The 14,264-nt window shown below is 38.0% G+C and overlaps 1 protein-coding gene across 10 annotated transcripts in view; it reads right to left on the bottom strand.

Moving 5' to 3' along the window:
* Nucleotides 1–14,264, bottom strand: part of DNAH8 (dynein axonemal heavy chain 8) — a 315,482-nt gene that overhangs the window by 165,365 nt on the left and 135,853 nt on the right. For all 10 annotated transcript variants that reach the window (XR_926078.3, NM_001206927.2, XM_011514319.3 and 7 more), the window contains 7 exons: nucleotides 13,754–13,856; nucleotides 12,630–12,734; nucleotides 12,081–12,242; nucleotides 7,686–7,910; nucleotides 4,799–4,971; nucleotides 2,970–3,148; nucleotides 1,368–1,555 (listed from right to left, as the gene is read on the bottom strand). Coding sequence is in view for 9 of the 10 variants with exons in the window: in NM_001206927.2 (NP_001193856.1) it covers nucleotides 1,368–1,555; nucleotides 2,970–3,148; nucleotides 4,799–4,971; nucleotides 7,686–7,910; nucleotides 12,081–12,242; nucleotides 12,630–12,734; nucleotides 13,754–13,856 (1,135 nt within the window). In the remaining variant the exon portion in view is untranslated. The remainder of the gene's footprint in view (nucleotides 1–1,367; nucleotides 1,556–2,969; nucleotides 3,149–4,798; nucleotides 4,972–7,685; nucleotides 7,911–12,080; nucleotides 12,243–12,629; nucleotides 12,735–13,753; nucleotides 13,857–14,264) is intronic.

The following is a 14,264-nucleotide window of genomic DNA, read 5'->3' as shown; positions in this document are numbered from 1 at the left end:
ATATTATTCTTAATCCAGGGAGCATGTTAAGCTTTTTGTAAAATTCTAGACCACAGTTTTACACTGAGTACATTTCTTCATCCCACTTCCTGACTTATAATCAATACTTCAGATTATTCTTATTTCCCCCTAACTGCTTTACTGGATGTTTGCTTACAATAAAGTGTATCAGAAACATTTCTGATTTTGCTTCCTATAATTTATCATCTTTATCCATGGGGACATTTAAAAACTCAGAGTGCTTTGTGTTATCTTGCAACTTCGAGATTTAACTTTATGGAAAACACATAAAAGCTTTAAAACTGGTGATACATAAAAGCATAAAAACTCCCGTTTATTCATGCCTTTGGTTTCCTATCTTTACAACACTGAATCTCAAAGCTCACCCTTAATCACATGGTAACTGAATTTGTTACAATTCTTTCGTATAGGACCTTGTTAAATTATTGCAGAAATTTTATTTTTATTTCCTTTTATTCGGTGTCAAAGAAAAACCAAGTGTGGAGGTTAAGCAGTCAGATTTTTATGTTAGAGAGACAACAACTTCTTCTTTCTCTTACTGGCTGGGTGACCTAGGAAGTTTTTAAGTCTCGCTGAGCCTCAGGTAAGTCAGCTATATAATATCCACTTCAGAGGGCTATCATAGCTATAAGATACAGTGTACATGTGAGAGAATATTTCAGGTCCTTCCTGTTTCTAGTTACACGATAGGATGGCACGTTTTCCCCCACCCCACCACCCCCTGAAGTTAGGTCGTGAAACTTGCTTTAGCCAATGTCTTAGGACTTGTGTCACTTCTGGAAAGAAACTCTAAGAGTCAGAGCACAATTCTTCATGTTCTCTTTTTCCTTTGCTACAGCAAAGAGCAATGATTGAGATAGTAGGTACCTCGTCAGGCCGAGTACTAGAGTAAAGACATACAAAGCAGCCCTGGCCTCCTACTTCTACCCTAGTCAACCCACAGTGGACATGTGGCATGACAGAGAGATAAACCTTGTGGCTTTAAGCAATTAAGATTTAGGGATTGTTTGTTACTGCAGAACCACATGAGTTATGCCATCTGATATAGCACATAGAACATTTAGCCTGCACCTTACACATATTATACTATGTGGTCAATAAACAGTATCTATTATTATCCTTAGCATATTACCTCTGTAGGTCTGGATCTGAATTTTTTTTAATTGAAAAAAATTACTATTTTATCTTCTGTCTGGGTTATAATGACATAAAAAAAATCATATGGTAAGAGAGAACAGCTTATAACTCCTGGATAGTTGGTCATCTACCCATTAACACATGCTTTGTTTTATTTATGTCTGTAACAATTAAACTAATTAAATTGCATTTAAAGCCTTTTTTCTCACCATCGTTAAGAAGATTCCAAATTCTGGATTTAAATCAACACAATCACCATCAGAAAAAATGAACTGTTTCTTTCTTTCTTTTCTTGCTGTCAAAACAATATAAATTTGTTGTGCTGCCACTGATAATACAGGCAATTCAATTCTGTTAAACTCATCAAAACAGCCCCAGGAACCCGACTGTGCAAGACCTGGCATGAAAAACAGTTAATTTGTAAAGTTTTACTCTATAATATACCTTCTTGATAACAATCATTTCTCCAGTGCTCCCAAACCATTATACATTGAAACGGGATTATGTAAAGTTTCATATCTGGCTGTTGATAAATACATATTTAATTCCAGTGATAAAGAGAGGTTTAATTATTTGTATATTTTCATCAAAACAATGGAAACAGTACACTGCTAAGATGAAAGTACAAATTTTGGGGGTATTTTGAAAGTAGAACCAACAGTGTTTGCTGACAGATTGGATCTGAGTATAAGAGAAAGAGCGGAGTAAAGGATAGGTCGAAGTTGTTTGGGGATGGTTGTTTTGTTTGTTGTTGTTGTTGTTGTTGTTGTTGTGTCTGAGCACCTAGAGATCAGGAGTTTTGGGGTTTTTTGTTTTTGTTTTTGTTGTTTTGTTTTGTTTTTTTTGGTAGAGTCTTGCTCTGTAGCCCAGGCTGGAGTGCAGTGGCAAGATCTCGGCTCACTGCAACCTCCGCCTCCCGGGTTCAAGCAATTCTAGCTCAGCCTCCTGAGTAGCTGGGACTACAGGCACGCACCACCATGCCCAGCTAATTTTTGTATTTTTAGTAGAGATGGGGTTTCACCATGTTGGCCAGGATGGTTGAACTCCCGACCTCATGATCCGCCTGCCTCGGCCTCCCAAAGTGCTGGGATTACAAGCGTGAGCCGTGCCCGGCCGGGAGTTTGGTTTTAAACATAGTGAATCTGCACCTGCTAGACATTTAAGTGGACATGCTAAATCAACAGTTGTACGTAATGAATCTAGAGTTTCAAGAAGTCCGAGCTAGAGATATAATTCTGGAGTCATCATACAGATGGCATTTAAAGTTTGGACCTACATAAGATCACCAAGAGAATGCATGTAGATAGAAAAGAGAAGATCGCCAAGTACTGAGCTCTGAGGTTGATGTGTCTTCAAATATTTTTTTCTCTGTCCATCTGAAAACATGTTCTACGTACCTTTCAGGATTTTCTCAAAATTTTCCATCTGCTGATGGCCACCCCCTTCTTATTTTCCAGTGTTGCTATGCTTTCTAAAATTCTTTCATTTCTGTGGGAGGGAAGCCACATGTGTCCCCTGTTTGCTATTTTGATCCTCTCTACTATTATTTCAGGCAATTATAGATTGATTCCATTTTCGTAATCTAACACACATTCCATGCATAGACTATAACACTAGCAATAGTATTGAACCATATGAAACTGTTGATATCCAGCCATTTTTGACCTAGAAAAATGGCAATATCATACGGATCAACCCATACTAATGTAGATTATATGAGATCACGTCACTTTGGATTTATATCAGAAAATAACATTAAAAGGCAATAAAAATAAATTCACCTAAAATAATCTACATTATTTGACACTTGCCTTTGAAAATCCTTCCTAGGCCTCTGAAATCCATTTGATCTGAGCAATTGAACACGACCACATATTTTCCCAAACACCTTCCCATGTCTTTTGTGGTTTCTGTTTTGCCAGTGCCAGCAGGTCCTGCGGGAGCACCTCCCATGTTCATGCCCAAGGCCTGAGCTAACGTGATATAGCATCTGCAAATGTTCATCCAATAAAGCATTGTGAGTATGGGATGACACGTTACAGGATGGCGCAAGCAAAAATCCAATGTGATTGGAATGGGCCTATTTATTTTAGAGTCTGAGTAGCCCACATAAAAGAAGTGAACAAACAAGGTTAGGGTACTTGATATTCATTAAAAGTACTACAGTGAGCCCAAAGATTTCTTGAGACTAATTTCAAAACTCCTCAACCCTGACTTAAAACCCTCAGGCCTTCCTCCCATTACAGTCAGGAGAACCAAATGAGCAGTATTGTGCTGGCAAATGTTTAACAACTGGCTCTCCAGAAAAAAAAAAAAAAAACCTGGTTTTCATGTTTGCCAATATCTATTGTATAAATTCTTCCACTGTGGTCAATGGCAAGCTACCAATGTGATATCACAAAGTCGGGGCAAAATGCACATAGACAGAAACCAGGTAAGGCTGGGCATGGTGGCTCACGCCTGTAATCCCAACACTTTGGGAAGCTGAGGTGGGCGGATCATGAGGTCAGGAGTTCAAGACCAGCCTGGCCAATACGGTGAAACCCTGTCTCTATTTAAAAAACACAAAAATTAGCCAGGCGTGGTGGCATGCGCCTGTAGTCCCAGCTACTTGTGAGGTAGAGGTGGAGGTTGCAGTGAGCCAAGATCGCGCCACTGCACTCCAGCCTGGGCGACAGAGCAAGACTCTGTCTCAAAACAAAAAAAGAAACCAGGTAAGCACCACAGGCTGATGCAAGTCAGCTCCAGCACACCACTGTAAATAAATAGTTTCACTATGAAATAATTCGCTCATTTAGAAAAGTGCAAAGAATACTAATATAATAAATCTCTTTGTATCCATGATCCAGCTTCTGTTGTATTTGTTTTGGATCTAAGTAAAACTTAGTAAAGATCTTAGTAAAGCTTCATGAGACACGATGCTTAATATGTAAACACCAATAGAAGAGAAAACACTGACAAATTTATGTTGCTATGGCACTGGGCATATAAAAGGGATAGGTTCAATAAATCAAAAGGAGGCTGAAGATGTGATTTGATATAATTTCACCTGGAGGCAGCCCTACTTAAAGTAACAGCAGCACTTAATATTAAAGAACGCAATTTAAGTCAATTCTAACAACATTTATTGAATGTTTTCTATGCACAGCATACTTAACTGGGTGTCATGGGATAAAAAAGACCTAGTAATTGCCTAGTGTCATATAATGGAAAGAATTGTGACGGGATCTGCCATTGACTAATTATTCATATTGGCCATGAAAATGTACGTTAGGTGCCAATTTCCACATCTGAAAAAAAGACTAAATTAAATGATCTCCAAGGGACCTTCCTTCTTTGCAATTTTAACTTCTTTTGGGATTCTAGGAATATTTTTCCATCTTGCAATCTAAAATTCACCATTAAATCACTCACAGTCAACATTCAAGCTTGCTTTTATTCTTTTATCTTTTTCTACTTCATAAAAATTCAATGCACATGTATATTTAAGTGGTTATTTCATTGTTAGGCTGACTTTAATGAGCTAGCATCTACCCAGCATGACAGAAATCTGCTTTTGTTAATATTTCAAATTCAACTATAAATAATGTTATGCACATTTTAAAATTACAAAATAAAAAACGAAAACTGGGTTTCCTACCTATCTGTTAATGGAGTGATAACAAGACGATCAGTACATCCCAGAAATTCATTTTGGTAAATAAAATCAACATCTGTAATAGACACCACAGTTTGATCCAAATCTTCCTTAAAATAAAATCTACTCTGTTTTAGCCATTCAAAGTCAGTAGGTGATTTGATATGCATTTTTACCTTAAAAACATAAAATACAAAAAAATTATATACTGAATTGCAATAGCATAAAACATAAGCATGTGGGCAGTTTTTAAAATTCACTCTTTGATGAACTGATTCTTATTAACAAATATTTATTGAGTTTCTTCCTATGCTTGACACTGTGCTAGGCAAACAAAGACAGAGATGGTTCCAGGCTTCCAGAGCTTACAGAAAAGGGCAAAAGGCAAACAGTGAAACAAATCATTGCAATAAAGTACAAAGGGCACCACCACCGAAATTCAGGGCTCATGAATATATGGAGCAGGAGGACCTAACTACTCCAGGATATCTGAGAGGGGCACTCAGAGGAAGAAAACATCTCAACTAAAACCCAGATAAATAGTAGGAATTAGCCAGGGCCACCAGGAGCGGGGAACAAAAGGGATCATGAGGGTGTGGGAAGAGTAAGTGCTATAGGCAAATGTCTAGAAGATCTGATTGGCATCTTCAAGGAATTGAAAAAAGGTCAGTACAGCTAGGGGCATCCCGGGATCTAGAGAAAGCATGAGAGTTGAGGGTTCACAGGGCCATGGGAAGGGGTTTAGGAATTGTCTTCATAGCAGTCGGAAGCCACTAAAGGGATTAAGCAGGGAAACACATGGTTATATATGCCCATGTCTCCCTGCACCAGCACTATAGCCAAGCCACTCAATCTGCCTAGTCATCAGCATATACAAGTGAGGCAAGAGGTACTGGGCTCTCATAGCCATGGATGCAAGCTCTAGTACCTGGTCTGTTCAAAGAGACAGAAACCAGGTAAGCAAACTTAGGAATTCCATTCCATCATAACCACATTCTGAGGAGCTTCGTGACTTTCCAGTGAAACTGGTGAAACACCAGTCCTGCCCATTCAGAGGAATCAACACAGGAAGTGGCAAGTGGTCCCCTTCACTGCTCTTAAATCCAGTAGGCCCACTTCCAGGTCATTCAACTGACACTAAAAAATGGACTCGTGGCTACTATACAATGTTCAGATCTCCATCTGACCAGGCCTCCATATTCCTTGCTATTTACAGTCCTGCTTTTTGCTATTGTTGTTTGTTGTTTGGTTATGATCTTGCTTCCTCCTCTAGTTAAGGACTGGCTTCCCACCTAAAGCACAGTTTGTATTCATCATCTTGAGTTACTTTCAGGTAACACAGTCTGGCCCCACCCACAGGGAATGCTCTGTAACACAGGACTCAAGGCCATGGGGATGCTCTCAGCCAGCTACTTTCAACCATCTGTTAAGATGGTAAGGAGGAGGTGGAGAAGAAAAGAAGAATAGTTAATATATTTATTGAGTTCTTGCTGTATATCAGGTTGTTCTAATAATTGTACATGGAAAAATAAAATGCATATATGTTGGCCATGACATCTCATTTAGTTGGGATGCAAACAGTTCAATGGTGATTAAGATAAAAGAAAATGGTTTCATAGTTTTCCTTATGTACAGGTTTATTTTTTTTAATCCCTCTGGATGTAAAGTAAAGTTTGCTCAGCACTTAATTTTAAAAGAAATTTCTTTCACAGGACTTCAGTTTTAGGAGCCAGTGAGAGACGTATAGACAACATCCTCAAACGTATGCTGACAGCAGATACAATAATGAACTCCATACTAGTGCTTCTTGAGGTGGACATCAATTAAAGTCAAAGTATAATAGTAACTGCAATTAGTAAAAGCTAGTCCGTGGAAGGCCAAAACAATATAAGTGTGCAGCTTTCTGATAGTAGCTTAATCCAGAGATAAATCCTAGAGCAGTTTTTCCTCAAACTTCAATATGCATATGAATCTCCTAAGAATCTTGATAAAATGCAGATTCTGATTCAGTAGGTCTTGGATGGGAGGAGGGAGGCTGGAGATTCTGCTCTTTTCACCAACTTCCAGGTGATACCAAAGCACTGGTCAGCATGTAATACTTTGAGAAGCAAGGATCTGGGTTGCAGGGGGATGGACGGACTGACTGGATGTCCTTCAAATAATCTTCAATAAATACAAACTATCTGATCAGAACTTTTGGTAAAACTTCAAAACAGGCAGTCTGTGATCACATTCTCTAAAACAGGACCCAACCTGCATGAATTATGTGTCTCTGATGAAGGAAAGAGATACCTTTAAAATGTATCAAATCAAGTAGACTAAAGCAATAGGAGTTAAATGGGAGGTAAAGATTATCAAATAGTGGCATTTCAAAACCACCTGTAATAGAAAAATCCTTGCTTTAGGAGAAGTTGGCCTTGGTCAAGGCCACTGGTTAGAGTCCCATTTCTAAAGGAATTCAAACACTTATCCTTCTTAGTCCCACCCTACAGAACTTTGCCTAAATCAAGCCCATGATCACCATCAACTGGACGAACAGCCGTGAGAGTGCTCTGAAGCCTGATTCCGTTCCATCTGTGCTCCTTTTCCAATCGACCCAGCATAGCTTATGACCTAAATTATATCATGTTCCTGGTTATTTGGTTTAATGGAACAATTAGCTGGCTCATATCACATCAGTTGGTTCCAAACTTTCAGAGTGCCAAATGAATATATAATATGGTTGTTTAAGCCATCCAATACAGAAATACAATACTGTGGACACGATATTGATGGACAGTTATGAAAAAGGACCAAGTAAATGGAAAGTTCATGTAAGTTAGGCAACATATACAATTCTTAGCTGTTCATTATTAGTTAGTACACTAAATTAAAAAAAAAGATACCTTACCAAGTCATCAAAAATATCTCTCTGATGCACATGGATGGTAATTAGAGTCTCGAACTTCACTCTATCAAACTTGCTTAGATCATGTGTTGTCTGACTAATGAGAGTATTTAGAATATCCAAAAATTTCTGATTGGTCACTTGCATGATTTTCCTGTCATCTTTTGCATTACGTAAAGCCTCTTCTGAATCGTGTGTCCACAACATCTGAATTCCCAGAAGTCCAACCTACAGATCCAGCAGAAAAATATTAAAATTTGCCAAATATTTAAAGCACATCTGCAATAAAATTTGGTGGTCACTTATTCACATTTTAAACTAAAAATGAGATTGACTTGCATTTCTTCACTCCCAAAGGAGGGAAACAGTTAAAGTTTTAACCGTTAATATTTAATTATTTCAAAGTAGATAGATTAATGATGATTAAAATACTGGCTACCATTTGTTGAACTATATGTGTGTTATAGAAGATGGTTAGGAAATTTTTCTACAGAGGGCCTGAGACTATTGGATACTTCCATGCAACGATTTTTCTTTCTCAAGAAAAGCAAAGGAACTCTTTATTATCTGCTTGTTCTTGAACAGGGCTTCCCAAAGGTCTCTCTGCTCTTCTAAAAACAATACACTGCCTATCTCCTTTCTTGATTGCTCCCTCTCTCTGATATCCACGTTTTTATCTACGTCTACTTTTCTGTCTCTATACTTATCTATAGAAGAGAGAGGGAGACAGAAAATGAGAAGGGGAGAAGCTTGTATTCTTTGTATCCTGATGAAGTCATAAAGAAACTGTGAGAGGATGTCACCTTAACCTACAATTTCTGCCCCAGAAAAGGTAATAAAAGTGGTCTGAGCATGCCCCACCCTCACCCCTTCACTGAAAGGGTTGTCCCTTCAGGAGCTCTCATTCATCCAGAGTCGAATGACAGATCCAACATCATTTGGACCAAAAAAGAGGACTGAAAGCGGGGCAGGCAGTATGTGGATACTGCTTGGCATGGGCTCAACAGTGAGAAAAGAAAGAATAAAACCCTCTTTCTGTCCCTGCCTTATCAGGGACTTTGATACTTTTCCTGCTAGAGCAGTGGCCAATCCTGAGGGCTGCAGCTAAAGATAAATGAAAGCACCTGGCTGAAGTGAGCAATGGGATCTGGAGAAAACAAGCAGTGTCAGAAAGCCCCCCAAGAGCAAGCAGATTCTGGTCAGCAGCAGATGATGGTCCAAGGGGGGAAAGACAAAGAGAAAAACTACAAAAGCATAGCAGTGTAAGGCTGCCTGACTTAAAGACAAATAGACCAGCAGACCCCAAAAGCCACTGCATAATTATGTCTATCCAAAGGCAAGTCTTTACAATCATTATCTTGAGTCACCAAGAACAGCTTAAAATTATGTTTTTATACTCAGTCTAAAAAGGCATGCGACTTAGTGGTGAAAACCAGAGGATGTCTCATTAAAAAACAAAACAGCAAAACAAGAATGCTCATTCTCATCAATATTACTCGATGCCTATAATAAGCACATTAAACAATATGAGAAGGCACCACATGTTCTCACACATACATGGAAACTAAAATAAAGCTGACCTCAGAGAAGTGAAAGCAGAATGGAGGATACTAGAGGCTGGGAAGGGTAAGGAGAAGAGGATAGGGATGGATTTGCTAAAGGACACAAAATTATAGCCAGGTAGGAGGACTAAGTGTTAGTGATCTATACCAGTGGTCCCCAGCCTTTTTGGCACCAGGGACTGGTTTCATGGAAGACAATTTTTCCATGGACGGGGGTCACAGGATGCTTTAGATTCACATAAGCAGCGCACAACCTTGATCCCTCAAATGCACAGTTCAGTTCACAATAGGGTTCGCCCTCCTCTGAGAATCTCATGCCGCCGTTGATCTGACAGGAGGTGGAGCACAGGCAGTCATGCTCACTTGCCCGCCGCTTACCTCCTGCTGTGCGACCCAGTTTCTAATAGCCCATGAACCGGTACCGGTTTGTGGCCGGGCCGGGTGGGGGTGGTTGGGGACCCTTGTTCTATACCACTGTAGGATAACTATAGTTAAGAATAACCTATAGTTTCAAATAGCGAGAAGGAGGATATTGAATGTTCCCAACACAAAGAAATGATGTTTGAGATGATGGATATGCTAATTACTCTCATCTGATCACAAGACATATTATACACATCAAAACATCACTATGCACCCCATAAATATGTACAATTGTTATATGTCAATTTAAAAAAAGAACAAAGGAGAAAACAGCAATAAATACATAAATAACGTATTGGAAGGGAATACACTAAAATATTAATAGTCATAATTTCCAGGTGGTAGAAATATGGGAAATTCTTATTTCCACTTTTATTTTATTTTTATTTTATTTAAGTTTCGGAATACACGTGCAGAACGTGCAGGTTTCTTACATAGGTAAACGTGTGCCATGGTGGTTTGCTGCACCTATCAACCCATCACCTATGTATTCCACTTTTATATTTTTTGCATTTTCCAAAATTTTGCAGCAAGGATCCATGGCATTCAAACAATTAAAACATGTTTTAAAAGAAAGCAGAAGTGGAATTTTAAACAATTTCAGATAAAAATGTTAAATTAACTTGATAGTTAGAGATTTCAGTCATTTGAAAAAATGCCTTAAAAAATTTAATATATGTGTATACATGTATATATACACATACATGAATATATTCATATATACTTATGTGAATATATTCATATATACACATATGTATATATGTATATAATACTTTGTATTATATATATAGTATTATATACATTGTATAAAATACTTTGTAAAATATGTATTATATACATTGTAAAAATACTTTGTATTTATGTATATATGTATATATATTAAATACAAAGTATTTTATACATATGTGTATATATGTTCATATATATATACACACATACACTAGAGAAAATCCTGAAAACTAGTCATCTTTCCTACTACATCCTGTTCAACTTCACCACTGTTTGGAACTTGCTCTCAACTCTCTACTTAATGCTAAATCCTCAGCCTAATTTAGGCCAAGCCTCTCCTTCAGGATATACAGGGTCTGGAGAAAGAAAATACGTGGATTTAGTTTCAGGAACTCTTTTCTCAATTTAACAAAGTATTTTATAAGCTTTATCACAAAGGTAATAATGCTAATAAGAATACTAAAGTTTCCCAGGGTATTATATAATATAAAAATCACAATATTATTCTCTCCAATAAAGGTTGATTATATCTCTGTCCTTCTGTGGTTTGAATAAATGATACATCATTTCAGCTGTCTTCATTTTGTGTGCACTAATTCAGGATTTGGAGCTCAGGTTGGGAGGAGTAGTTGGAGAAGAAATACCATTTGGGCAAAAATTGCCTACGTTTTCCTTGGATATCTCTTGCCTTTTATCCCATGCTCTCTCTGGCCAGATCACAAATCATCACTTTTCATTTCTCTTGAATGAAAGTGTAATGAAACCATTGGTACCTGCTCCAATCTTGGCCTCTTTGAGGTCTTCACTTTCTAAACATTAGTTGCATGAAAAAGCCTCTCAACAATTTATGTCCATTTTTAATTGCTTGAAGGGAAAATTAAAGACAAGATGGATTTCATTTCAAGAAAAGGTATGCTCATTCCCTTTACATATATCCATATCTATATCCACATCATATCTATGAATTGGTGTATATATATACATATATATATACACACACACACACGTGCACTTACACACAGATGGTCCCCAACTTTCAATGGTACAACTTAAAAATTTTTTTTACTTTACGACAGTGCAAAAGCAATATGCATTTAGTAGAAACTGTACTTTGAGTACCCACACAACCATTCTGTTTTTCACTTTCAGTGTAGTAGTCAATAAATTATATGAGACAATCAACACTTTATTATAAAATAGGCTTGGTGTTAGAAGATTTTGCCTAACTGTAGGCTAATGTAAGTGTTCTGAGCATCTTTAAGACATACTAGACCAAGCTTATGATTGGTAGGTTAGATGCATTAAATGCATTTTTGGTTAATGATATTTTCAACTATGATGAGTTTGTTGGGAGATAATCCCATCATAAGTCGAGGAGTTTCTGTATACAAATACACACACACACACACGCTTACATATGTATCTATTAGACTCAATGTATGTATCCTTCATGATGGGAAAATAGTGGCATATCCTCCTCTGGGACATGGGATGGGTTGGTCTAGAATGGTGTAGGTTGACAAGCAGGTGGTTGGGAGCTGAGGCTAAAATGAGTGTGAGTAGGCCACTCTAACCTAATTCAAAGCTACAATTGCCTCACACCATCAGGTCAACCACCTGCTAAGCATCCTTCCCCTTTATTTCCATTTCTTTTCACCATTACTTAAGCATTGTGTATTCTCACCTGTGCTGGAAAGTGGCTGAGGAATGGTAAGAGTTGAAATCCTGAATCACTGATTTGATAGAAAGCGGATCTAATTATATTATGTAATGATGACATCTGCATTTTTAACAAATCCAGTAGCCAAATCTCCACAGGACCTTTGGCCATAACAGAATTATCCAACTAAAACAAAATTACAAGGATATTATAAATTGATAATAATTTGGCATTTTTACAGACGTTCCATGCACACTTAATAAATCATAGTGCCCTATGCCAAGCAAACAGTTTCATATTTTATACAAAATATTTTAAATATGGGTAAAATCACCTAATACTATAGCTGGAAGGAACTACACAGATCACCTAGTCCAAAACTTTCACTTCATAAATTACAAAATGAGTCTCAGAGAAGTTAAAGGATTTATCTAAACTAGTTTTTAACAAAGCCCAGGGCTGTAGAATGAGAACTCCCTCTCCTCCTGTTTTTTTCTGTAAGAGAACTGTATTCTCCTCAACCTAAGTTTTTAAAGAAATTCTAATAAAAAAATTTAAAGCAAGGTAAATTACAACAATTTTTTCTCCTTCTCTTGATATGACGGCCATGATGCGATCATAGTCTTTTGCATGAAATGTCACCTCATTGATGTTGTCAGATACTGCAGGGAGATGCGGCTGTAAGACAGAGGAAAACGTCACACATGAGGCTGGACACAAAAGCCGCTGAGATGTTTTTAAAAGCCTTAATATTTTGTATCTTTTTAAAAGGTTAAGTATTTACTTTATTGTCTCAAAAAATAGAGAGAGACTCTGCTTTGACCCTTAACTGGCTTGGAGGTCTACTTTTTAAAATCAAGGCCAGAGGAATGTTTTCTCCAAGTCCTGCAAATGGCCCCTCCCATGCTATGCAGATTAGACTAAGGACTGTCACCTTCCACCAGATGGGGACTGGACCACACCGCCTCCCCCCTCCTCCCCCGACAGATACAGCTCAGTCCTGCCATCTCTCCTAGCTCTACCTCCACCTTTCACAGAGCCTTTCTATTCTCTTTTCTCATTGTTACAAGTCCCTGGAAACCAACAAGGAAACTACATTAGCCGTTTCCCAGATCCCCAGACCAGAATTGGCCCTGGGATGGGACCTTCTGTGCCTCCCACTCTCAGTTTGCTACGGTTTTTCTTTTCCTCTTCCAAAGTATTGCTCTAGGAAATGGCTAAAAGCATTTGAGAAGTATTGAGGAAGGAAAAAAGGACAAATCCAAAATATAATCCCTATTTGGTCTAAGAATATTTAGAATAAAATACTCATAATGATAAATTCGATTTAATAAACACATACTGTGTGCTAGAGACTCTGCTATGCATGATCTCATATAATCCTCATGACAGTCCTGTGAGGTGAGAACCATTAATATCCTGATTTTACAGATATGGAATTGAGGGATGGGGAAATTAGGAAGCCTGCCAAGATCACACAGCTAGGAATGGCATAGTCAGTGCATAGTCACTTAACACTGCTGGACTGCATCAGGATGACAGGCTCCAAATACACAGAAAATATGAAATTTTATGATCAATGTAATTTGTAATACTCTTCTTTCCTGCCTGCATTTTTAAGATTTTAACTTCACTTTTATTCTTCATTGTGTATGTCGTGGGAAAAGCAAGTTAGATCACAGATTCTTAGATTATACCTGTATGGTGTGGGAATCACTGGCTTGTCCAAGAATTTCCAGGAGAACTGGATCAGATACAAAGAAGAATCTTGGAAACAGTAATCGTTTCTTCTCCAAATACCTTCAAATAAAGTCGACAGTATGTTACCAAGTGGTTTTTTTTCCCCTAAATTATTATTTTTTTAGTCAAGACATAATCACTAACATCTTTGCTAAGATAATAGCAAACACCTAAAGTCACTTATCACCTACCCCTGCAATGTTTGGTGAAAACCAAAGTCCATGCTCCACCATGGATGACACTTGGGAAAACAAGAGATTCAGAGCAAGGCTGCCCCATCATCTGCTGTCCTCTCCTTTCTCATCAGATGCCCTCCTATGACCTTTCTGAGACTGCTGGAAAGCTCATGGCTTAAACCCAGGGGGAGCACAAACCGTATCTCCAAACCAACACATTTTGAGAGTGAAAGGGAGGACAACTAACCATTAAGCCAGGACAGACGCATAAACTTGGACAAACCAGGATGTA

Source organism: Homo sapiens, chromosome 6 (genome assembly GCF_000001405.40).
Source record: "Homo sapiens chromosome 6, GRCh38.p14 Primary Assembly".
Classification (NCBI taxonomy): domain Eukaryota; kingdom Metazoa; phylum Chordata; class Mammalia; order Primates; family Hominidae; genus Homo; species Homo sapiens.
The sequence above is the reverse complement of the archived record's forward strand: the minus strand, read 5'-3'. Positions and strand labels throughout refer to the sequence as shown.